The 25,116-nt window shown below is 35.0% G+C and overlaps 1 protein-coding gene, 1 long non-coding RNA gene and 1 other non-coding gene across 5 annotated transcripts in view; 1 reads left to right on the top strand and 2 right to left on the bottom strand.

Moving 5' to 3' along the window:
- The window catches only part of HTR2C (5-hydroxytryptamine receptor 2C), a 325,976-nt gene that overhangs the window by 81,073 nt on the left and 219,787 nt on the right, over nucleotides 1–25,116 (bottom strand). The gene's annotated exons all lie outside the window — the stretch shown is intronic.
- Nucleotides 5,425–5,535, bottom strand: MIR448 (microRNA 448). The gene has a single exon (NR_029955.1). It is a non-coding gene; the product is annotated as a microRNA 448 (primary transcript).
- The window catches only part of LOC105373313 (uncharacterized), a 96,198-nt gene continuing 86,379 nt past the window's right edge, over nucleotides 15,298–25,116 (top strand). The window contains exons 1-2 of the long non-coding RNA XR_001755943.2: nucleotides 15,298–15,583; nucleotides 18,134–18,252. This is a non-coding gene — a long non-coding RNA (uncharacterized LOC105373313). The remainder of the gene's footprint in view (nucleotides 15,584–18,133; nucleotides 18,253–25,116) is intronic.

Below are 25,116 nucleotides of genomic sequence, written 5' to 3'. Positions count from 1 at the left end.
AAATATCTATCAACTGACAGATGAATAAACAGAATGTACTATATTCAGATAATGGAGTATTATTCAACCATAAAAAGAGTGAATTACAAATACATGGCACATTATGGTTGAACTTTGAAAGCATCATGCTAAGTGAAAGAAGCCAGATGCAAAAGATCACATATTGTATGACTTTATTTATACGAAATATTCAGAATAGGTAAATCCTTAAAGACAGATAGGAGACTAGTGTTTTCCAGAGGCTGAGGAATGGGGCAATGTAGAAAAGCTACTTAATGGATATGGAATTTTTTTGGAAGTAGTGATAAAATATCTTGGTACTGGATAGAGATGACGGTTGGACATCATTGTGAATGTACTAAATACCACAGAATTGTATACTTTTAAATGGTTAATTGTTAATTTTGTTATATGAATTTTATCTCAATAATAAAGGATCCAGATCTCAAGACATAATATTCAAAGTGTCAAAGATACAAAATGTTTTATCCAAATATACACAGAATTAGAAAAATCTCAAAAATTCTTAAGGAAAAAGAGAATCAAAGACAGCAACCCTTCGATAACGCAAATGTTGGAATTTGTAGACAAAGACTTCAAGGCAGCTACCCTAATCATGCTCAGTGAAGGAAGGCGGCCTCTCTTGAAATGAATAGAAAGGTAGGAGTTCTCAAATAATGAGTATAATTTATTAAAAAGAACCAACTGAAAGCTTGGAGCTCAAAAAATACAATATTTGAAAAAAGATCATTGAATGGACTCAATAGAAGAGTAGAGATGACAGATAAAGAGTCATGAAAACTAAAGTTAGATCCATATAAATTATATAATCTGAACAACAGTGTGAAAAAATTAAAAATAAATGAACATAGTGGGGATCTGTGGGACAATAACTATATGTTTAACATTTGTATCATTGGAATTTTATAAGGAGAGGAGAAAAATTGATGAAGAAATACTATTTGAAGAAATAATGGTCCAAAACATGCCGCATTTGGGGGGAAAAAATTTACAGATTTAAGAAGTTCTGTAAAACTCAAATGTTTAAACCAAAAAAAAAATCATACCTAGATCATCATAATCAAACTGGTCAAAATAAAAGATAAAGACAAAAACATTGAAAGTTGCATATCTTCAGATTTTGCATCAGAAACCATGAAAACCAGAAGGTAGTGTAACCACAAATTTAAAAGCCTGAAAGAAAGGAGCTATCAATTCAAAATTCCATATCCAGTGGAAATATATTTCACAAATGAATGTGAAATAAAGAGATTCTCAGGTGAAGGGAAACTAGGAACTCATTGCTCTAAAACAAGTCTCTCTAAACTAGGAGACTTGGTCTAAAAATGTTAAAGGATGTTTTTCAGGCAGAAGGAAATTACACTAAAGGAAAACACTAAAGGAAATTACACTAAAGGAAAATTACACTAAAGGAAAACATCAGGAACAAAGGAAGAACAACAGAAACGGTAAATATCTTAGAAAATATAATAATTTTTCTTAAGTCTTTAAAATACATATGATTCTCAGAAGCAAAAATTTTGTAACATTGTCTGATAAGGTTCTCAATGCATGTAGATGTAATCCATATTACAACTAAGACCAAAAAAAGGAGGATAAAGGAGCATATATGGTTTTATCTTTCACTTGATGTGATAAAATATTAAGGGTAAGAAACTTGGAAAAAATATGTATATATAGGTTGAATATTTCTAATCTGAAAACCTGAAATCCCAAATTCTCCAAAATCTAAACTTTTTGAGCACTGAGATAATGCTTAAGGGAAATACTCATTGGAGCAGTTTGGATTTTGGAATTTTGGATTAGGGATGCTGAACTGTTAACTATAATGAAAATATTCCAAAATCTAATAAAATTCAAAATCCAAAGCATTGTGGTCCCAAGAATTTTGGATAAGGGATACTTATAATATACAGGTATATTTTAATTCAGAGCATTGTCACTTAACAAACAAAAAAACTGTACAAAGAAATATAGTAAAAAAGCCAATAGATCAATAAAATTGAAATACTCAAATAAAAAGAAAAAAACATAATAAATCAGAATTAGGAAACAAAAGAATGTTTCCCATTCCTATAGGAAATAAAAGAGTGGAAAAGACAAGGGATAAATAGAAAACAAAACACGGTAGACATAAGTCCAAACAAATCAATAATTGCATTAAATCTAAATGGTATAAACACACCAATTCAAGGAAAGAGATAGCGATTTTGGATTAAAATTGAGAATAAAAATAAACAAGACACAATTATATGCTGTCTATAAGAAACTCTACAAATTTAAATTTAATAATATAGATAGTTGTACAAGCTGAGCATCCTTTATCTGAAATGCCTGGGATTAGAAGAGTCTCAGATTTTGGACATTTTGATATTTTGGAATATTTGCATATACATAATAAGACATGTTGGGGATGGAACTCAAGTCTACACGTGAAATTCATTTATTTTTTGGCCTGAAGTTAATTTTATGCAATATTGCAAATAATTTTGTGCATGAAACAAAGTTTTGATGGCATTTTGACTGTGACCAGTCACATGAGGTCAGCTGAGAAATTTTCTACTTGTGGCACCATATAGATGTTCAAAAAGCTTTGTATTTTGGCTGGTCATGGTGGCTCATGCCTGTAATCTCAGCACTTTGGGAGGCTGAGGTGGGAGGATCACTTGAACCCAGGAGACCAGCCTGGGAAACATAGGGAGATCCTGTCTCTACAAATACTTTAAAAACTTAGCCCGGCATCGTGGCATACACCTGTGGTCCCAGCTACTCAGGAGGCTGAGGCAGGAGGATCACCTGAGCCTAGGAGTTTGAGGCTGCATGATTGTGCCATGGCCCTCCAGACTGGGCAACAAAGAAAAACCCTGTCTCAAAAAAAAAAAAAAAGTTTTTGATTTTGGATTATTTCAGATTTCAGATTTTGGGACTAGAGATGCTCAACCTGTATAATAAAAGTATGGATAAAAGATATACTGTGCAAACACTAATTAAACAAATGCTAGAATTTTTATATTAATAACAGATAAAGTAAATTGCAGATCATCGGATATCACCAGAGGTAACACAGACCATTTTATAATGATAAAGGTGTCAATTCATCGAGGGAATATAACAGTCCTAAACGTTTATAATACATTTAAAATATAATAACATTTAAAATATAATAACAGGGCTTCAAAATTCATGAAGCACAACAATGGTAGAGCAGAAAGAAGAAATCAAAAGTAGAATTACAATTACACTTCAAGATTTCAACACCCCTTCCTCAGTTAATTGACAGAAAAGCATACAGAAAATTATCACTGAGGTAAAAGAACTGAACAGCATTACCAACAAACTTGACCTAATTGACATTGATAAAACATACCACCTGACAACAGGAAAGTACACATTCTTTTCAAGAACTATGGAAAATTGACCAGGAAAGACCATATTCTGGCTCATAAAATATACCTGAAGAAATTAAAATGGTTGCAATCAAACAACGTGTGTTGTCTGAGTATAACAGAATTAACCTGAAAACAAATAAAACAGATATCTTGAAAATGTTCAAATATTTGCAAATTAAATAACACAATTCTAAATAATTCATGTTTCAAAAGGAAAAGGCAAATGAAGTTAAAAAATAATTTGAAGTAAATTAAAATGAAAACAAAACGTACTAAAATTTGTCTGATGGTGCTAAAGTAGTACTCAAAGGGAATTTTCTAACGTTAATGGTTTATTTTAGAAAAGAAAACTCAAATCCATGATCTAAGCTTCCAAAATTAAAGTGCTAGGCAAAAAAGGAAAAATGAAATCCAAGTACCAGAAGAAATAAATAAATATAAAAGCAGAAATCAATAAAATTTAGGCAATACTATAATATTGAGAATTCAATGAAATAAAATGCTGCACTTTATTGGGAATAGATCAATAAAACTGATAAACCTCTCAACAGATCGACTAAGAATTAAAGGTAGAAGCCACACATTATCAATTATCAGTGATCAAAGAGGTGATATCTCTATAGACTCTACAGAAATTACATGGGTATTATACATAACAGTATGCTCATACATTTGCATGGAACTTTGGGGTCCTTGTATATGAAACCATACGTTTTTTGAACTATTCACTAAGCCCCTAATTCCAATGGAGAGTCTGTGCTGCTGAGGAAAATAAAGAGATATAAATGCTCTAAATCCCAAACCCTAAATCAGCCTGTTTTTCAGCCTAAGATTGGCCCACTTACCATCCACTGTGAAGAATGCCAAAGCCAGGATGGTTGACTAGAAACTCATCCCAGATTCGAATGCATAGCAAATCAACATTTTTTAGAACCCCAAAGTCTTTGGAGATGGCCTGTTTAACTTGACCCTAATTTAAAGTCAGTGGAAAACTCGATAGCATCCCAGGATACAACTCAAGTTTGTGCTGTTGACATAATTGATTCTCTGCCAGTAGCATCTCCTACAGATTAGTCATTTTCATATAAAGATCCATAGTGAAATTTCAGCAGTCTAAAGTGAAAATGGAAAATTATGTATAACAGCCAATTATTTATAAAGCTAAATATATTCCATTTAAATGGCTTATTTCTATTCTGAGATTATATCCTTCCTGTACCAATCCAGAAGTAGAAGGGCCGCTAGGATTGGCTGGATTTTGCATTACTTTTAATCCTGCCCTATGTTTTTAAGAGCTGGGCCCTGCTCTCGATATTTCCTATCACCTTGCTTTTGACAGAATTCCCTGGATATGATTGGATACTGCAGCTGACAGAAATTATATCTCTGAAATATTTGTAGGGACATGCCGCTAACTTTCTCCCTTTGCAATCACACCTACTTCCTTGTAACTTGATTCTTGCCTCAAAGTGTAATAGACTGTTTCTGCTCAATTTAGAATTGTTAGTTCTTCTCTGGAATACTCCTCCCAAATATCCTTCTTCTGACTTTGAGACATATTTTTTAATTTACTATCTTACCTTGACCCTCAGACTTGAAATTCTAGGCTGCTTTTCAGGATATAATCTTTGTTTTTTTCTATAATTAAGAATTAGATTCTCTCTACCTCTAGGTATTTGGCTCTGGCTAGCCTAAATAAATATGCCCAACTATTGAATCTCCCTAATTCGGTGTAGCTCTGAGAGTAGGTGGCACAATTCTGGAGGCATTATCTGTGTGGCCAGTGTTGTTGCTAATATGGTTTAATGCAGATCTACTGGCCCTGAGCTTAAAGATCCACTCACATACCCACTGCCTCTTATGAGCCAAGGTCATAGCAGTCAGTACTCTACCCTCCTCTAAATACATTTGTCAGAATGCCTTTCTAGTGATGCAGCTCTAGCATCTGTGTTTCCATGACACGCAGATTTTATTGTTCTTCAGTGAAGCAGAGTGGTGTTTCTGGTGTCTGTCATGACGAAGTGGGCTGGGAGATGGGACATCCTACATATGCAACCAGCCAGCCCCCTCTTATATGAAATAGGGATTTCCTGGCAGCACTATGCAGGATGTTCAACCTCCCGGCCCATGCGAAGATGAACTGCTGCACCATGAAGTTCCAGTTTCTGCTGAAAGGCTTGACATTGATTGATGCTTCTCTGTGTAAATGCTGTCATGAAAGCCTCTTCTGGCCTGGTGGTCTTTTCCTGATGAACTGGTTGTGATTACAAGTAGCCTAAATGATCCAAAAGCTTGTCAACCAATAACTCATCTCTTACTTGAACTTAAACCCCTTATCTCAAAAATATCATTTCCCACCAATTAAATAAAAGGAGAAAAATCTCCTGACACTTATAGGTACCAAGATATTTTCTGGGTTACAAACACTGCCCAGCTCCACTTCCAATTTAGTCAACCTGTATTACCTGCTTCTAAATCATATAAACAGACTTCTTACATGACAGTAGAGGAATTCTATGGCTGGAAGACCCCAGATGGGCTGCACACACTTTTTACCAAAGCTATCCCAGATGTATCACAATTTAGTTGCCAAAAACACAGGCCTAGAAGCATCATGAGATCCTAGGCTCTGCGGCTCTGCAATGTGACCACCACATTACAAAATAAAGAAACTTAGCTAAGGACAAATTCAATCAGCCCTGTTCATTTAGCTTAGCAAATTCTGCATTATGTACTTGCTCATCTCAAGTCTCTCAGCACCAAGAACTTTCCTATCTGCAAAATTTTGTGAGCCTACAATTTCATCAGGACCTGACACCTGAGAGGTTCAATACAATCTACAATATCTTCAAACAAACAAACAAACAAACCCTAGATTTTCTCTTCTGAGATAGTCTCACAACCCATCTTTCCTGGAATTTTTTATGTAATTTCCAATTGAGCTACCTCCTTTCAAGCTGATCTCAAAACTTTACCTATGAGTGCATGGAAAAGACTTCCATTTCTCTGTTGATATTTTCTTCAGAGTTGAATGGAAGACAACTTTATTAAATGATTCTCTATTTCTTCTATTGTATGGATCTTGAGTGGTGGAAAAGGGATAAGGACAAAGAAGCAATCATGAATTCTTGCCTAAGCAAGAATATAATAATGAGGACTTCTGCTGATTTGTACTATGTGACTCTATCCTCTCAGTAGTGGGGAAAAAGAAATGAGTAGGTAAGAGAATAAGATATAATTGTGGCTTTAACTTTATGACTCTAGATTTTCTGGTTTGGATTTTGGCTTTACTTTATCACATTAAGCATACCTTTAATCTGGTATTTTATTTACAAGAGAACAAAAGTAAAATCTCTTTGACTATGTCATTAATGTAGAGTGATTTCTAAGTCAATAGAAAAAAATATAATTTTTTAAAAGTATATTTAATCTTGCCAGGCATGTTGGCTCACGCCTATAATCCCAGCACTTTAGGAGGCCAAAGTGGGTGGATCACCTGAGGTCAGGAGTTCGAGACCAGCCTGGCCAACATGGCGAAACCCCATCTCTACTAAAAATACAAAAATTATCTAGGGGTGATGTTGCGTGCCTGTAAGCCCAGCTACTTGGGAGGCTGAGGTAGGAGTAAGCCAAAATCGTGCCACTGCACTCCAGCCTCAGAGACAGAGTGAGACTCCATCTCAAAAAAAAAAAAAAAAAAGGATATTTAGTCTTTATAATTTGTTTAGTCTTGATGACACTAGCAGGATTAACATTTGCTAACTCTCCTAGGTGCTTCAGTGATAAACAACATGGCCATGCTATCATTCTAATGTTCACTAAAAACTAAAGTAAACTGTAAAATATATTTTTGAATACTGCTTTTTATAGTAATCTTCTTAATAACTAATGACATATTCAGAAATATTAAAATGCAGATTTCTTTAAAATTAAATATACATCTAAATAATGTATGGCTTATTCATGGCCAAGTAATTAATCATTAAAAGTTGTAGGCCAGTGTTTCTAACTTTCGCTGTGACTCACTAATTTACCATGGAATTTGATGGGATACATTATTTTCTACAATATATTTTAAGCCAAAGATATAGGATATAACCTATAAAATCAATTTCCTTTTTATCTTAAAATTATATATTAATATGTACCAAACAATTATTAAAATCTAAATTTACAGCTACAGATACTAGTATGAACAATATGCTGTCAGGTACTAGGCAGATTTCTTAAAGCATCATGTAGCAATCATGCTTTTAGACCGCTCAAAGTAGCATTAGTTCAAAGAGACACCATCTACAGCTTTTAGTTAGATCACCTTACTAACTGCTGTTTGTGATCTGATAGTCTGTACGTACTCATATCTGCTTTCTCTAGTTAGTGAATTTCTTGTTTACTGTTAGTAATAATCCAAGGCTTGAAAAAACATCTCCAAGTGTACAACCAAGTGTTTGACTATGGATGCCCCCAGGATCTCCCTTCTTTCATATCATAGGTTGAAAATGATTCTTATTCACTACTTTTCATATGCCCAAGTTGCAAAACATCCCCACGTTTTACTGTGCTATGCTTTTAATTGATTCTCTATTCAAACAGTTCACTCTGCAGAATAATGATAATAGATTAAAAGTGACTGTGAAATTTTAATTAACAGAAAAGAGAAACTCCTGAGGGTTCTAAGGGGAACCAGAAAGTGATATTGATATACAACTTCACAGCTGTGTTAGGCCGTTTTCATGCTACTGCTAAAGACATACCCGAGACTGGGAAGTAAAAGAGGTTGAATTGGACTTATAGTTCCACATGGCTGGGGAGGCCTCAGAATCATGACAGGAGGCAAAAGGCCCTTCTTACATGGCAGCAGCAAGAGAAAATGAGGAAGAAGCAAAAGCGGAAACCCCTAATAAACTCATGAGATCTCATGAGACTTATTCACTATCACAAGAAAGACTGGGCCCCATGATTCAATTACCTCCCCCTGGGTCCCTCCCATAACACGTGGGAATTCTGGGAGATACAATTCAAGTTGAGATTTGGGTGGGGACACAGCCAAACCATATCAATAGCTAAACACTGTATATATAAAGCTGTGTTCTCTATATATCAGTCATGTATATATGACTGATAAATTGTGGTTTAAAATTAAATTATTGCCATTTTTTAAGATTTCCCTAAAAGTTTTTCAAATTTACTTTTTTAAACAAAGGACAGTGTGTTTCAGGGGTCCAATATTAAAGTAATGTAAACTAAAAAAAACTCCTACCCCCTTCTTCATGATGTGACTATTATACATTCCATTCCTGTATCAAAACATTTCATGTACCCCATAATATTTATTTATAATATTTTATAATATTTATATATCTACTATGTACCCCAAAGAAAACAAAGTTAAAAATTTTAAAATTTAAAAATAAAATCCTATGCCCCCCACTGAAAGAACAGACCCTCTCTTGGCAAAGGGGAACGCAGAAAATCCTTAAAACTGAGTTCCCAGCCATGACAGAATGGAAGGTCAGACACACCTTGTTACACCCCCTCCATTTTGTGGTTTGGACAGAACAACTGACCAGCATTAATGTTAAAATAGAGATTAAAAGGCTGACAGAACAGACTCTATGTGACAATAAGATATTAGATTATAAACATTATCTAAGGACATGCCAGGCAAAGGTTAAATCACACATTCCTGCACTTAAAGAATAAACTATGTTCTAACTGTCACAAGGATTTTCTTTTTCTCTAGCAGCTAAACAAGCACTGGTCTCAAAACAAGTGATATTAAAACAATTTTCAGTTCCACCAGCTGCTGACTAGGCTGATCCTCAGCCCGTGTTCCACAAGCTATAACTACAGCTCTGACTGGACAAGAGACTGATTTCATTAGCTTTCTCCAGATAAGACCACTGACTATGAACTGGTTCTGGCTGGCTTACGGAGATTGTGCACTTGTGCACCTTCATGTCCTGAAAAGACCTTTTGATATAGAGGGCCTAATTGTAATACATGTAAAAGTTAAGTCTTCATCCCAAAGTAAACATGGGTCATATGTTATATGCATGTGTATTCAATATGCATGTGTCACAACCCCTTTCATGAATATTCACAGATCATCCTGTAATCTGCTGAATATGTATGTTTAGCTAACCTGTTCATCATAAAGCACCTACCCCCACACCTCCTCCTTCCAAATGCTGTAACCCTTTATAAGAAATAAATTTTTTTCTCTCCTTTTCTAAATGTATGCATTTATTTCAGTTGACAGTAACTACTATATTTAATAACAGAAATGTCATTTTCAGAGTAGTAAATTATTCAACTTGCTAGTATGATTAGAACAATATTGAAATGGGTTTTAGGAGAACTGGAGTATTTAATAAATTTATTCTCTTTGTTATTCCAAAATAAATTTGAAGTATTTTACCCATGTAGCATTTATTTATGTATTTAATAAATATTTAGTTGTTAAAATCTACTGGGCAGAAGGAGATAATGATTCAGAAGGTAAAATTATACTTGTTCTCATGGTTTTATAATATAGTGAGGAGTATTATGTGGTCAAAATTAGTTAAATAATAAATTGGGCAAATAAATGCACATTGGAGTAGAAAAGGCATTTAAAAAATTGCAGCAATTAAGAGAAGAAAGCCAAAGCAAAATAAATAAATAAATACACACATAAAACAAAACTAACAAATAAAAACACTGCATCTTAGGCCAAACAACAGCAAACATTTTCTGTAAAGGGCCAAATAGTATCTATTTTAGTCTTTGTGGGCAATACAATCTTCATTGCAACTACTCAACTCTACTATTGCAGGATGAAATCAGCCATAGACAATCTTTAAAATAATGGATGTGGTTTTATTCTAGTATGCCTGTTTTTACCAAAGAGGCAGCCAGCAGGATTTGGCCCATGGGCTGTGGTTAGCTGACCTCTGACCTAGAGAGCTAGGAAGGGTGAAGCTGAGATGTGGTGGATGTATTGATTGATGGAGATGATTTATTCTTATGTTCAATGCTGTTGCTTGAAGTGATCAGGGATAGAGCAAATGCTATGTATATTAGGGTACAATTGAAAAAATAATCCAGGCACACAAAAGGTATCTGCTTTAGCTGCATAGAATAAGCATATTGATAAGGATAGTCATTAGCTTTCATGAAAGACATTACTATTTGAAAGAGAGAAGGCTTTAAAAAGCAATTCACTCAAACCACTAAGAAAATTTCATGAGGAACTTGAACACCTGAAGTTTAATTTCATTAGATACTGAGATCCTCTATTTTCAGTAGTAGTGAAGGTTCTCTAATCAAATAAACACAACAAACTCATATACGTGTGTCCTTCACTTTACACAAAGCCTCACTTTTCACAAAGCTCTTGATCAGGTTGTGGAAGTTCCCTTCTATTCCTAGTTTGTTGTTTTACCATGAAAGTGTATTGGATTTTCTCAAATGGTTTCTTTGGGTGTCCATTTAAGTAATCAGGTAGTTTATGTTTTTCACTCTATTAATATAGTGTATTATAATGATTTATTTTCATATGTTGAAACAACCTTGCATTTCTGAGATAACACCATTGTCACAGTGTTCAATCTTTCTTATATACTGCTGGATTCAGTTTGCTAGTAATTTGCTCAGGATTTGTTTCATCTATATTTGTAAGGGGTTTTGGTCTGTAGTTTTCTTGTGATGTCCTTGTTTGATTTTGGCATCAGGATAATATTGGCCTCATAAACAGAATTGGGAAATATTCTTCCCATTTTTGTTTTTTGGTAGTTTTTGAAGGATTGGTGTTAATGCTTCCAGGGAACTACCAGACAAGTCAAATAATGAAAATTCTCTGGAAATGAGGCTCTGAAGGAGCTGCAACCTCATTCTACCCCTTCCCTTCCCCCATCCAGTAGCTGCCAGGCTGCAGGTTTTCAACATGATTGTAGGATGTTGGTTTTTAAGGCTACCATGGCACTTGAAGGGGGAATGGGAATAGGACAAGTTAAAATGTCACGGAGATTGCTATTCTTAACAACATTCAGCCATTTTCTTAAACAAACACATTCTGGGTTGCTGCAAGCATTTAGTTAATTTTCAAAGTCCCGAAATAGTTGATTCAGAGAATTTCTGTAAATTTTCTTACTGCTTTTATGAAGGAGAGAATTTTGAAAGTACTTAGCCATTTTTGCTGATGCCTCCAATGTAAGTTTTGTGTTATGAACACATTTTATACTTCTATAATCTCACAGAGTTTAGAAATTGCATTTGTAGAAAATTCTGTACAATGAAAGCATATTACTAATTTAGAGTAATGTAGACAATGGTGGTTTTGAAAAGAATTATAAATGAGAATATGTAAATATTACATTTCTATTCATTTTCCAGTATATAGGAGGTGCATTATACACTGTCCTAAAAAAAACCTACAGACACATTTTATGATATAATATTCTAACTTATTAAAAATTGTCTCAAATATTTTATGCCAGTCTTTATCTTTTAATTTTGCTTATGTTTATGTTTGCTGCAATTATTTAATCCCAATCCACTTCACATTAACAAAAGTTATCATAGATAAACATTTTATATTTACATGCAAATCTGTCAGTCTTCTCATTTGTGTAATCATCTATTTTTTTTTAATCTTAGATGCTGGATAAATACATAGTTGGATAAATATTCTATTCTATTATTCTTGTTTTTCTTTGAATAGGTTTTAAATCGTCAACATTTTCATCTTCCCAGAATTTACTTTTATATGTGAGATGAGATGAGAAGCTGAATTTATCTAACATGTTTTCTTTTATCATTGATTTTGATGCTTCATTTATCACTCATAGTAGGACTTATTGCTGTAATTTTTTTATGCTTAATCTTCCTAATCCTATAGCCACACATTATTATAATTATACTGGTTGTTACTTTGTAATATAGTAAGGGATGGCCTTCCTATTTTCATATTTGAAATGTATTTATTATAAATATACATTGAAGTTTATTAAATGATTTTCAGCTTCTACCAGGATGAACTATAGTTTATGGTGTTTAACCTACTGCAGTACCATATTTATATATTTCATAATGTATTGAACAACCCCTAAAATCATGAGATGAATGAAACTAGCATGAGTTAACTATTTTTTTTTTCTGGGAAACTTTACATTATCTCGTTTACTCCTCACAACAACCTTATAAAGTAGTTACAGATTAAAACTAAAAAGAAACAAACAAACAAACTGAGATTTGGCAATATTAAATGCCCAAAGTGATGCGGTTGGTCATTTGGATTTGAATATCTATCTATCTATCTATCTATCTATCATCTATCTATCTACCTATCTATCTATCATCTCTCATCTTCAAAGTTATGATTCCATCCTGGTCATACAATTCGTATTATATTTCATTTGAATTTTTATATATTAGTAAGTAGGAATTTACTGTGTAGTAGAGAGACAGACATGCAAGCAAATTTCAGTACATCATTGTAAATTCTATGACAGAGGCAGTACACATGATGTTCTGGGAGTACTGTGTATGATATACTTAATTCTCTTCAAGCTTATGAGATAAGCTTTTTCAAAGCAGGCTGGAGAGGGAAGAGAGTGAAGTTTGGAGGAAGCAAGAGATTTGTCGAAAATGTCAAGGAGATCAGTAATGATGTCATAGAATGATATTTGTGAATAAAAGTGTTGAAAAGCTGGAAGGAAGAACTTTACATTGAGAAGCAGAAAACTGATCACAGAGGAGGGGCAATTCTTAATCTTTGGCAAATTCTAAGAGTAGCCATAAAAGTCATATAGTTTCTAAATTTGCCAGATGGTTTTGCTTTTAAAAATATTTATTGCTGCCTTATTTGACATACACTCTATCTATATACTATACTTTCTCCTCTGCCAATTTCTTAGGTTAATACAGATTTACAGATTTTCTCATCCTCCAGCTTCCTTAATTTATCAATAATTTAGGCACGATGGTTGGAGGTCATCAAGATATTCTTTTACCATGTCCTCATCCTGGCTTAGGAGGCAGAACTTTGGTACTGTTTCTAACTCTAGTTTCTTCAATGTAGTTTTTACAAATGCTTCAAAATTCTACCATGTATTCAGTGCTCATTAATTTCTGGTAGGACTTTAGATTTTTTTCTGTTTGGTTTTACAGGATTTGCACAAGATTTTAAGAACAGTCTCCACCACGTTTACATACTCTGTTACTTGAAGGTAATTCAAAAGAAGCAGTTTTAGTTGTGGCCTGGGGTTGGAGGAAAGGATCAAAAAGAAAGGTGTGCCTATTTGTTAGAAGTAGCAGTATCTCTTTCTAGTCATCATCCAAATAACACTTCAGCCCTTCTAAACATAATACATTGATTTTGAAAACCTATGATCAAATAGATTGAAATAAAGAGATGCTGACAAGTAAAAGCAGAGAAAAATGAAAGAGGTACAGAAAAGGCACTTTACTCAATATTCCTAGGAAAACCTGTTGAGGATGAGTAAAATTATATTTTAGCAGGGAAAAGAAATGCTTATAAAGCAGAATGCCATTTATTATATGATATACAATATACTATGTATAAAGTATTATATGTATATATACTATAATATATAATGTATTATATGTATATATACTATAATATATAATATAGTATATATGATATATGATATATACTATATGATATATACTATATAATATTATAATATATATTCTATAGTATATATCATATATACTATAGAGTATTATAATATATATTCTATAGTATATATGATATATACTATATGATATATACTATATGATATATACTATATAATATTATTATATATACTATAATATATATACTATATATTAGATGTTCTGTGAAACTTGATAGATGTTCTGTGAAACTTGGTAGATGAACACAGGTTTTCTTTCAGTAAATAATTTGAATAATGCATGGTTCCATTTTGGATCAGGACAATTTATGTTTCATTAATATTTTGATATTCTATTAATAATTCCATAACATTATAAATGTTGATTATCTAATATCACCCTATTTTCTTAGTAGTACTGAAGTCACATTTTGACTTGCTACTAACTTTCCAAACCTCCTTCCTGGTCTGATGCCCTACAAATTGTTAACACTGGATAGATGTATACAAATTATAGTTTTAGGTTCCATGACTTCACAGGAAAGTCCTTATGATGACAGCATTGCATTATTAAAGTAAATCTATAGGATTTTAATAGATTATGTTCTGTAGCTTTTAGGGAAATACAACATTGGTGATGACTTGTAAGTATTCTTACACAAATATTTCCTCATTTCATTAAGAATAAAACTTGACTAAAAAGGCATACTATATCATGAAGAATTAGGTTACTTTGAGGTCTGAGATATGCTTTCTACTCCAGCCTCATCTCCAGCTATTTTTTCCCTTTCATTTTTCTGTGCTTTTGTATACTTTTGTCTGTCTTGCCTAGAATGACATCTGTAATATACCCCTTTTTCAAACCTCCTTCCTGTACACACAGGCAAATGTCTACCCATAATTAAAGACCCAGCTGAGACAGTACTTTATCTGGGAAGCCCTTTCTAAACCTCCACACACAGAGTTAATTACTCCTTGCTATGTCTTCTCTCAGTACCTTACATATATCTGTATCCTAGCATATATATTGTATTGTAATTTTCTGTTTATATCTCCTGGTACACTGTAAACTTTATGACATTACAATCTGCCCTTGTACTCTGTAATGTACAACATAGCTTGGTTAATATAATAACATATATGTCAGTACTTACATGGTCTATGATATCACAATTCACCTGATTATTGACATAATCAGCCCCACCCAGACTCTCAACCAATGAGAGAAGACCTAGTAGTATATAAGAAGCTCTTCTCAAATGACTCTTGCCCTCTGTGGCCGGGCTGTTTAGCAGCTGGTCTCACTGCTTAGGTTCCTAAAGCCTAGCTGTTACAGCGTCCTTGCTACAGAAAGAGATCGTTGTCTGACCAGAGACAAAACTTACTTCTGTCTGGTAGCAGAGTACCTACATTTGGCTTTCCAGATCTCACCTCAGTTCCAGATTCCTCTACATTAAAATCTTCGCCTGGGTTACATCTTCTCTCAGGATTGAATATCAACACTATTGAAGACACCTCATGTGACATCACAAACAGCTTTCTTGGACTCTCCAGGTACTCCAATTTGGACTGTATCTTGGTACTTTAGACTTGTGAATTTGAATTCAACTGTCTGAGTGAGACTCCAAGATGGGAACAGGATTTGTGGTTCAACTATGTTATCCTACTCTGGAAGAAATTTATGAAGTTATTGATGGATCGCCCCCACTAAATTGTTATCAAAAATTTCCAAATCCTTATTTTTTAAGTCTGTTTTTGACATTATTTAATCATCAAGGGAAGACTTTTAAGTGTTATGCATTAATAAAGGACATTGTGAAATATATTTTGGTTGTATATAAGGATTTTATTGCGGGGGTAGATATTTATAAGTGGGGTGGCATGACTATTTTTATGAGTGCAAATAATTTAATTAGACAAAACTGTAAAGTCCTTTTCTACTTCATAAGTCTATGTTATATTTTTAAAAATTAATCGTAAATGTAAATATTAAAGGGCCACTTGTCTGGTAAATACATGCAAATGTTTATTATACTATTTTATATTTTTATTTTTACTTGACAAAATATCCACTATTTACCATAATAATTCAATTTATAAACTGGTATTACTCAGAGGAAAACTGAAAATTACTATCAGCTACTTCAATTCACTACCAGGTTATTTGGGTTTAACAAGATAGCCTTGTTTTTTTGTTTTTTTTTTTGTTTGTTTGTTTGTTTGTTTCTTTTGGGATGGAGTCTCACTCTGTCGCCCAGGCTGGAGTGCAGTGGCGCAATCTCGGGTCACTGTAACCTCCACCTCTTGGGTTCAAGCAATTCTCCTGCCTCAGCATCACAAGTAGCTGGGATTACAGGGCTCACCACCACGCCCGGCTAATTTTCGTAGTTTTAGTAGAGATGGGGTTTCACCATGTTGGCCAGGCTGGTCTCGAACTCCTGACCTCAAGTGATCCACCCACCTCGGCCTCCCAAAGTCCTGGGATTATAGGTGTAAGCCACCGAGCCCGGCCCAAGATAGCCTTTTCATTATTCTGCTTAAACATTCTTGCTCTGTCTGAACTACTGGAGGGTGTCTTCATGGAATATAGCCTGGTTTTCATAATGTTCGTTTGTTAAGTTTATAACCCATGTAGAGGGTGGGGAAAAAGTTGGGGGTAACCACAGAGTTTTGGGATGGCTGCCACTCTATATAATGCTTTCTTTCTACTGAAAAACAATTTAGGTAGGTAGATAATCACTCATAGAATAGTAAGGGAGCAGAAGAGAAGGTAGCAAGATTAAAAATGGGAGCTGAACAATAAGATTACATGGACACAGGGAGGGAAAAACACACACTGGGTCCTGTTGTGGGGGGTGGGTAGGGGGAGAGAGAGCTTTAGGAAAAATAGCTAAAACATGCTGGGCTTAATACCTAGGTGATGGGTTGATAGGTGCAGCAAACCACCATGGCAGATGTTTACCTATGTAACAAACCTGCACATCCTGCACATGTACCCCAGAACTTAAAAATAAAAATTTTAAAAAATCTCAAAAATTATGGCTGCATAGCACAGTAGGAAAAACGTGACACTAGGAAGAAACAGTTATTTTACCATGAGGAACCCTGAATGTTTAGGAGATGAACTGGTGGTTGTTAATGGATGACTAATGAAAGCACATGCTGGGAACAGATAGTAGCTCATCAGAAGGCAATAGTTTCCCACGAAGAATTTTCCTGCAATAACTTGCCCCCTATCTTCTTTTCAGACTATGCATTTAGATACACACTCACACAAAACATTTACTCTTGGTAGGCAAGCTGCAGATTTAATATGGTAACATGTTTATCAGCGAATTAAATCTTTGTAACGAGTGCATGCAATGGGAACATATTGGCTTGACCCCTGTCTTTTCACTAAGGCAGACATTGCCAGGAATAATAGAAGAAGAAATGCCATGTAAAGGTAACAGAGGGAATATGTAAGGGTTTCCCTGATAGGAATATTCCACATATGTGACATCTATATGTTCTTTGAACATTATACTGTATTACTATTGCCATTGGAGTATGTAGATCTCTTTTGTTATACGAAGACTTTACAGCATTCTATAAACATTAGCATGTTAATCTTCCAAAAAAACGTATTGGGTGGGGTCTGAGGGAAACCATGAAAAAAAAAAAAAGACTGGCCTTTGGGCCCTTTCTTTACTTCAAACCTCTTTCTCCCATTAATAGTGCTTATATTTTAATTAGGCACTTTGAATTAAAGTTAAATGACTATTATTGGGACTATAAAGAGTGACAGGTGATAGCAAGACATTTTGCCTGATGCGGGAAAGACAACTTTAGCAGTGCCCCCCAAATCACACCAGCTCAGAGGCTTTCTTGGAACTTCAAGAACTCCAAGCCTTCAAAGAACACAACTGGCCATTCAATGACATAATTAGCCTTACTATATCATTTTTGGCCATTTTATTGGTGTACATTTATGTAATGAAATATAAAATATATAAACTGGTTTTAAAAATCAGAAACTATACATTTTAGGTGGACTATCACTATCATTTAATCACTTTGGTGTGAGGGGTACAAATTTTTCTAAAGCTTTTTTATTTGCTTCAGGGAGGTGGAGCAAGATGGCTGAATAGAAGCCTCCAGCAATTGTCCCCCACTCACAGGAACACCAAATTGAACAACTATCCACACACAAAAAAAAGCACCTTCATACAAAGAAAAATCAGGTGAGCGATCACAGTACCTGGTTTTAACATTGTATTAAGGAAAGAGGCACTGGAGAGGGTAGGAAAGACAGTCTTGAATTGCCTACACCACCACCACTGCCCCATCCTCTGGCAGTGGTCACATGGTGCAGAGAAAGAATCTGTATGCTTGTTGGAGGGAGAATGCAGTGACTGTGGGACTTTGCATTGGAACTCAGTGCTGGTAAGCAACATGGGGCAGAAATCAGCCAGCGCCCACTGAGAGAGCATTTAGATGAGCCCTAGCTAGAGGCAAATTGTCCATCCCAGTGGTCAGAACCTGAGTTCTGTCTGGCAAGCCCCACCACCATGGGCAAAAGTGCCCCCCGGGTCCTAAATAAACTTGAAAGGCAGTCTAGGCTATGAGGCAAGTCCTGGTGCTGTGCTGGGCTTGGAGCCAGTGCACTTGGGGTGCATGAGACCTAGTGAGATATCAGCTGGCGTGGCCAAGGGAATGTTTGCATCACCCCTCCCCTAATCCCTGACACCATAGCTCACAGCTCTGGGAGAGACTCCTTCCCTCAGCTTGAGGAGAGAAAAGGGGAGAGGATTGAGGACTTTGTCCTGCAATCTGGATACCAGCTCCACCACAGTAGAATAGGATACCAGGCAGAGTCCTGATGCCCTCATTCCAGGTTTTAGTTTTGGATAACATTTCTTAACACACCTAGGCCAGAAGAGAACCCACTGCCTTGAAGGGCAGGACCAAGTCCTGGAAGAACTCATCACCTCCTGACTAAAGAACCTTTTGTCCCTGAATAATCAGCAGTGGTAGCCGAGCAGAATTTGCCATGGGCCTTGGGTGAGACTCAGAGCCCTGCTGGCTTCAGATGTGACCCAGCACATTCCCAGCTGTGATGGTCATGGAGAGAGACTCTTTCTGATTGAGGAAAGGAGAGGGAACAGTAAAGGGGATTTTGTCTTGTAGCTTGGGTAACAGCTTGGTGACAGTAGGGCAGAGCACCAAGTGGGCTCTTGGGGTCCCCGGTTCCAGGCCTTGGTTCTTGGACAGCATTTCTGGACCTTCCTTGAGCCAGAGTGGAGCCCACTGGCCTGAATGAAAAGGCACTGGATTGGGAGGCTGAGGTGGGCAGATCACCTGAGGTTAGGAGTTCGAGACCAGCCTGGCCAACACAGTGAAACCCTGTCTCTACTAAAAACACAAAAATTAGCCAGGCGTGGTGGCGGGCGCCTGTAAGCCCGGCTACTCGGGAGGCTGAGGCAGGAGAATCGCTTGAACCCAGGAGGCAGAGGTTGCAGTGACCCGAGATCGCGCCACTGCACTCCAGCCTGGGTGACAAGATCGAAACTCTGTCAAAAAAAAAACAACAAAAAAAAGGCACTGGACTGGCAGCATTTACCATAAGCTGACTGAAGAGCCCCATGGGCCTTGAGTGATTGCTAGGGGTAGCCAGGCAGTACTCGTCACGTGCATGGGGTGGTGGCGGCCATGGGAAGTGATTCCTCTGCTGGATGAAAGGGAAGGGAAGAATGGGAAGAACTTTGTCCCGTAGCTTGGGTGTCAGCTCAGCTGCAATAGACTAGAGCACCAGGTAGATTCCTAAGGTAACCGACTCCAGACCCTGGCTCCCAGACAGCAACTCCAGGCCTGCCCAGGGCCAAGGAAACTCACCACCCTGAAGGGAAGGACACAGGCCTGGCTGGATTTGTCATCAAATAATTGTGGAGCCCTTGGGCCTTGAGCAAACATAGACAGTAGCCAGGCAGTGGTCATTGCAGGACCTGGGCAGACCCATTTCTGTGTTGGCCTCAGGTCTGACCTAGTACAGTCCCAGTGGTGGTGGCCACAGGTTGGGAGAAAATATTTTCAAACTACCCATCTGACAAGGCATTAATAAGCAGAATGTATAAGGAGCTCAAAAAACTCTATAGGAAAAATCTAGTAAAATAATCGAACAATGCGCAAAAGATTTGAATAGATACTTCTCCAAAGAAGACACATGAATGGCAAACAGTCATACAAAAAGGGGCTCACTATCATTGATCATCAGAAAAATGCAAATCAAAACTACAGTAAGGTATCATCTCACCCCGGTTAAAATGCCTTACATCTAAAAGACAGGCAATAACAAACACTGGCGAGGATGTGGAGAAAACGGAAGCCTGGTACACTGTTGGTGGAAATGTAAATGAATATAACCACTATGGGAACAATTTGGAAGTTCCTCCAAAAGCTAAAAATTGAGCTACCATATGATCCAGCAATCCCACTGCTGAGTAGATACCCAAAATAAGGGAAATCAGTATATCGAAGAGATATCTGCACTCCCATATTTGTTGCAACACTGTTCACAACAGGTAAGACTTGGAAGTAACCTAAGTGTCAATCAGCAGATGAATGAAGAAAGAAAATGTACACATACACAATGGAGTATATTCAGCCATAAAAAAAAGAGATCCTGCCATTTGCAACAACATGGATGGAACTGGGGGTAATTGTGTTACGCAAAATAAGCCTTGCACAGAAAGACAAACTTCACATGTTCTCGCTTATAAATGGGAGCTAAAAAAATTAAAACAATTGAACTCATGGAGATAGGGTAAAATGACAGTTACCAGAGGCTGGGAAGGGTAGTGGGTTTGGGGGAGGGGAGAGAGAAGTGGGGATGTTTAATAGTTTCAATAATATAGTTAGGAAGAATGAGTAAGATCTAGTATTTGACAGCACAACAGGGTGACTATAGTCAACAATAATTTATATTGTACATTTAAAAATAACTAAGAATGGGGCGGGCGCGGTGGCTCACGCCTGTAATCCCAGCACTTTGGGAGGCCGAGGCGGGTGGATCATGAGGTCAAGAGATCGAGACCATCCTGGCCAACATGGTGAAACCCCGTCTCTACTAAAAATACAAAAATTAGCTGGGCGTGGTGGTATGCGCCTGTAGTCCCAGCTACTGGGGAGGCTGAGGCAGGAGAATCGCATGAACTCTGGAGGCAGAGGTTGCAGTGAGCCAAGATCGCACTACTGCACTCCAGCTTGGTGATAGAGTGAGACTCCGTCTCAAAAAAAAAAAATGAATAAATAAAAAATAACTAAGAATGTAATTGGATTGTTTGTAACACAAAGAAAGGATACATATTTAAGGTAATGGATACCCCATTTACCTAGATGTGATTATTAGCCATTGTATGTCTGTATCAAAATATCTTATGTACCATATATATATATGGTATATATATATATGGTGTATATATATGGTATATATATGATGTATATATATGGTATATATATATGGCGTATATATATGGTATATATATGGCGTATATATATGGTATAGATATGGCGTATATATATGGTATAGATATGGCGTATATATATGGTATAGATATATGGTGTATATATATGGTATAGATACATGGTGTATATATATGGTATAGATATATGGTGTATATACATGGTATATATATGGTGTATATATACATGGTATATATATGGTGTATATATACATGGTATATATATGGTGTATATATACATGGTATATATATGGTGTATATATATATGGTGTATATATACATGGTGTATATATGGGGTATATATATGGTGTATATATGGTATATATATGGTGTATATATGGTATATATATACATGGTGTATATATGGGGTATATATATGGTGTATATATGGTATATATATGGTGTATATATGGTATATATATGGTGTATATGGTATATATGGTATATATGTGATATATATGGTATATATATGTGGTATATATATGGTATATATGGTATATACATATGGTATATATGGTATATACATATGGTATATATATGGTATATACATATGGTGTGTGTATATATGGTATATATATGGTGTATATACATGGTATATATACGGTATATATATGGTGTATATATGTGGTGTATATATATACAGTATATATATGGTGTATATATATGGTATATATATGGTGTGTATATATATGGTGTGTATATATATGGTGTATATATATGGTGTGTATATATATGGTGTATATATCTATATGGTGTGTATATATGGTGTATATATGTGGTGTATATATAGTATATATAGTGTATATATATGGTATATATAGTGTATATATGGTATATATATGGTGTATATATGGTGTATATATGATATATATGATATATATGATATATATGATGTATATGGTATATATGGTATATATACGGTATATATATGGTGTATATATGTGGTGTATATATGGTGTATATATATGGTGTATATATATACAGTATATATATATGGTGTATATATATACAGTATATATATATGGTGTATATATATACAGTATATATATATGGTGTATATATATACAGTATATATATATGGTGTGTATATATACGGTATATATATGGTGTGTATATATATGGTGTATATATATGGTGTATATATGTAGTGTATATATATGGTGTGTATCTATATGGTGTGTATATATATGGTGTATATATGTGGTGTATATATATGGTATATATATGGTATATATATGGTATATAGAGTGTATATATATGGTATATATATGGTGTATATATAGGGTGTATATATGTATACATATGGTGTATATATAGGGTGTATATATGTATACATATGGTGCATATATGGTATATATGGTGTATATATGTGGTATATATATGGTGTATATATGGTGTATATATGGTATGCATATGGTATATATGGTATATATATGGTGTATAGATATGGTATATATAGTATATATATGGTGTATATATATGGTGTATATATATGGTATATATATGGTGTATATATATATGGTATATATATGGTGTATATATATATGGTATATATATGATGTATATATATGGTATACATATGGTGTATATATATGGTATATATATGGTATATATATGGTATATATGGTATATATATGGTATATATATGGTGTATATACATGGTATATATATGGTGTATATACATGGTATAGATATGGTGTATATATAGGTGTATATATGGTGTATATATGGTGTATATATGGTATATATATGGTATATATATGGTGTATATATATGGTATATATATGGTGTATATATATGGTATATATATGGTGTATATATATGGTATATATATGGTATATATATGATGTGTATATATATGGTATATATATGGTGTATATATATGGTGTGTATCTATATGGTGTGTATATATATACACCATATACCATATATATATGGTGCATATATATATCTACAAACCTACAATGTACCCACCAAAATTTAAAATTTAAAAGAAATAAAATCTTGCTTCACAATTAAAATTGAAGTCAGGAAATGGCAAAAAAAAAAAAAAAGGGGTGGAGACAGGTGCAGAGTTGTAATAATGGATTGACTTTGGCACTCTATCACAAGAGAAGGGCCTCAGTTCTGGTGAAGGAAGAAAAAAGGTTAGCCAAGGAATGAAGGTGTATGTCTACAGCCTGAGAAACAGATTGGTCATATGTCAAAGTTTGAGAATCAGGCACGCAGAAACAAAAGCAAAAAGGGCAAGAAAAAATGGCTACAGAGTAAAATAGAACAATCATGGCACCCCATGGGAAACACCAGCATAAACATAATAGCAAAAAAGCTTCATTTAATCCATTTGTACCTATGGCAGAGCCTAGTTTCTGTTCTGCTTCTTTCCTGCAGATTAAATGAACTATTTGGCTATATACCTAACTCTCAACTTTTATATTTCGTTCCCAGGACAATGACCGGTTTCCTTTTTCTTTGACATACTTTTTCACCAAAGATAAGCCTTCCTCTTGGCATAAAAAATCTTCATAACACTTGAAGGGAAAGTCTGGAAAAAGCCTGTGGCCTGGATTTTAGATCTAGGTGTCATCAACAAATGGTAGCATAAAAAATGAAAGTGGTTGTATTGCCTAGGGAAAGAATGTAGAGGAAGCAGACACCAGACCAAGGACTTCAATAGTTTTTGAATTGTTTTCTGCTTGAAATTTATGTCCCTGTAACAAGTCCCTGGAAATACTAGCTGAAGGTGTTAAATGGACCACTAACACAGGATGCTATGGGGCAAAAGACTAGCTTACTTGCCACTTAAGATCACTGATAATTGTTCAGCATTCTACAGTCTTCTGGTGTAAGCATTCATTTGAAATGTTTTTAATAATGTTGTTTAATCCTTCTTAAAAAGTAGATAACAGTATCTTACTCCAGAATCCATATACTAAAGCTGAAGGGTTTTTAATTTTTATTTTATTTCTTTTGATCACTTTAAAGTCTCTTGGCTATTGCAACATTTTGCAGAAACAAAGTAATCATATGCAATTTTAGCATTACATCATCTTGGAGAGAACTATTTCTTAATGATTTTCATTCTTGTCATCTCAACAACCTTATGAGAAATAGAAGCATATTATTATTAGATTAAGAAACTTATTGTTCAGCCACATTTAGCTGTTAGTTCGGCATTGTACAGCCTCTACTATAATGTGATACAGTGGAATAAGTGTGGACTTTGAGACTAGAAAAACCTAAGTTTGAGACAGAATATCAGTAGCTTAGGTGTAACCACCTCCACAAATCCTTTCTTGGAACTGTCCCCTCGTTCATGAGTTATTTTCCTTTTATATTCACAAGAAACTCTGGCATAGATCCAGCTTTACAATTATCCCACCTTCTATTAAAATGATTAGCTACCATGTCAGTTTCCTCAATTACAACTCCTTAAAACGAAGGAGCATTTGTTTACTATTATATCTCCAGCACTCAACACACAGCTCAGCACAATTTAGGTGTTCCTTTAAATATTTGAAAAGGCAGGTGAATAAGCAATATTTAAGTGGCTTGATTTATTTTTCTTAAAGGAAGAGTGAAAATAGA

The sequence above is a fragment of the Homo sapiens genome, chromosome X, assembly GCF_000001405.40.
Source record: "Homo sapiens chromosome X, GRCh38.p14 Primary Assembly".
Lineage (NCBI taxonomy): Eukaryota > Metazoa > Chordata > Mammalia > Primates > Hominidae > Homo > Homo sapiens.
This window is presented reverse-complemented; position numbering and strand designations above follow the sequence as displayed.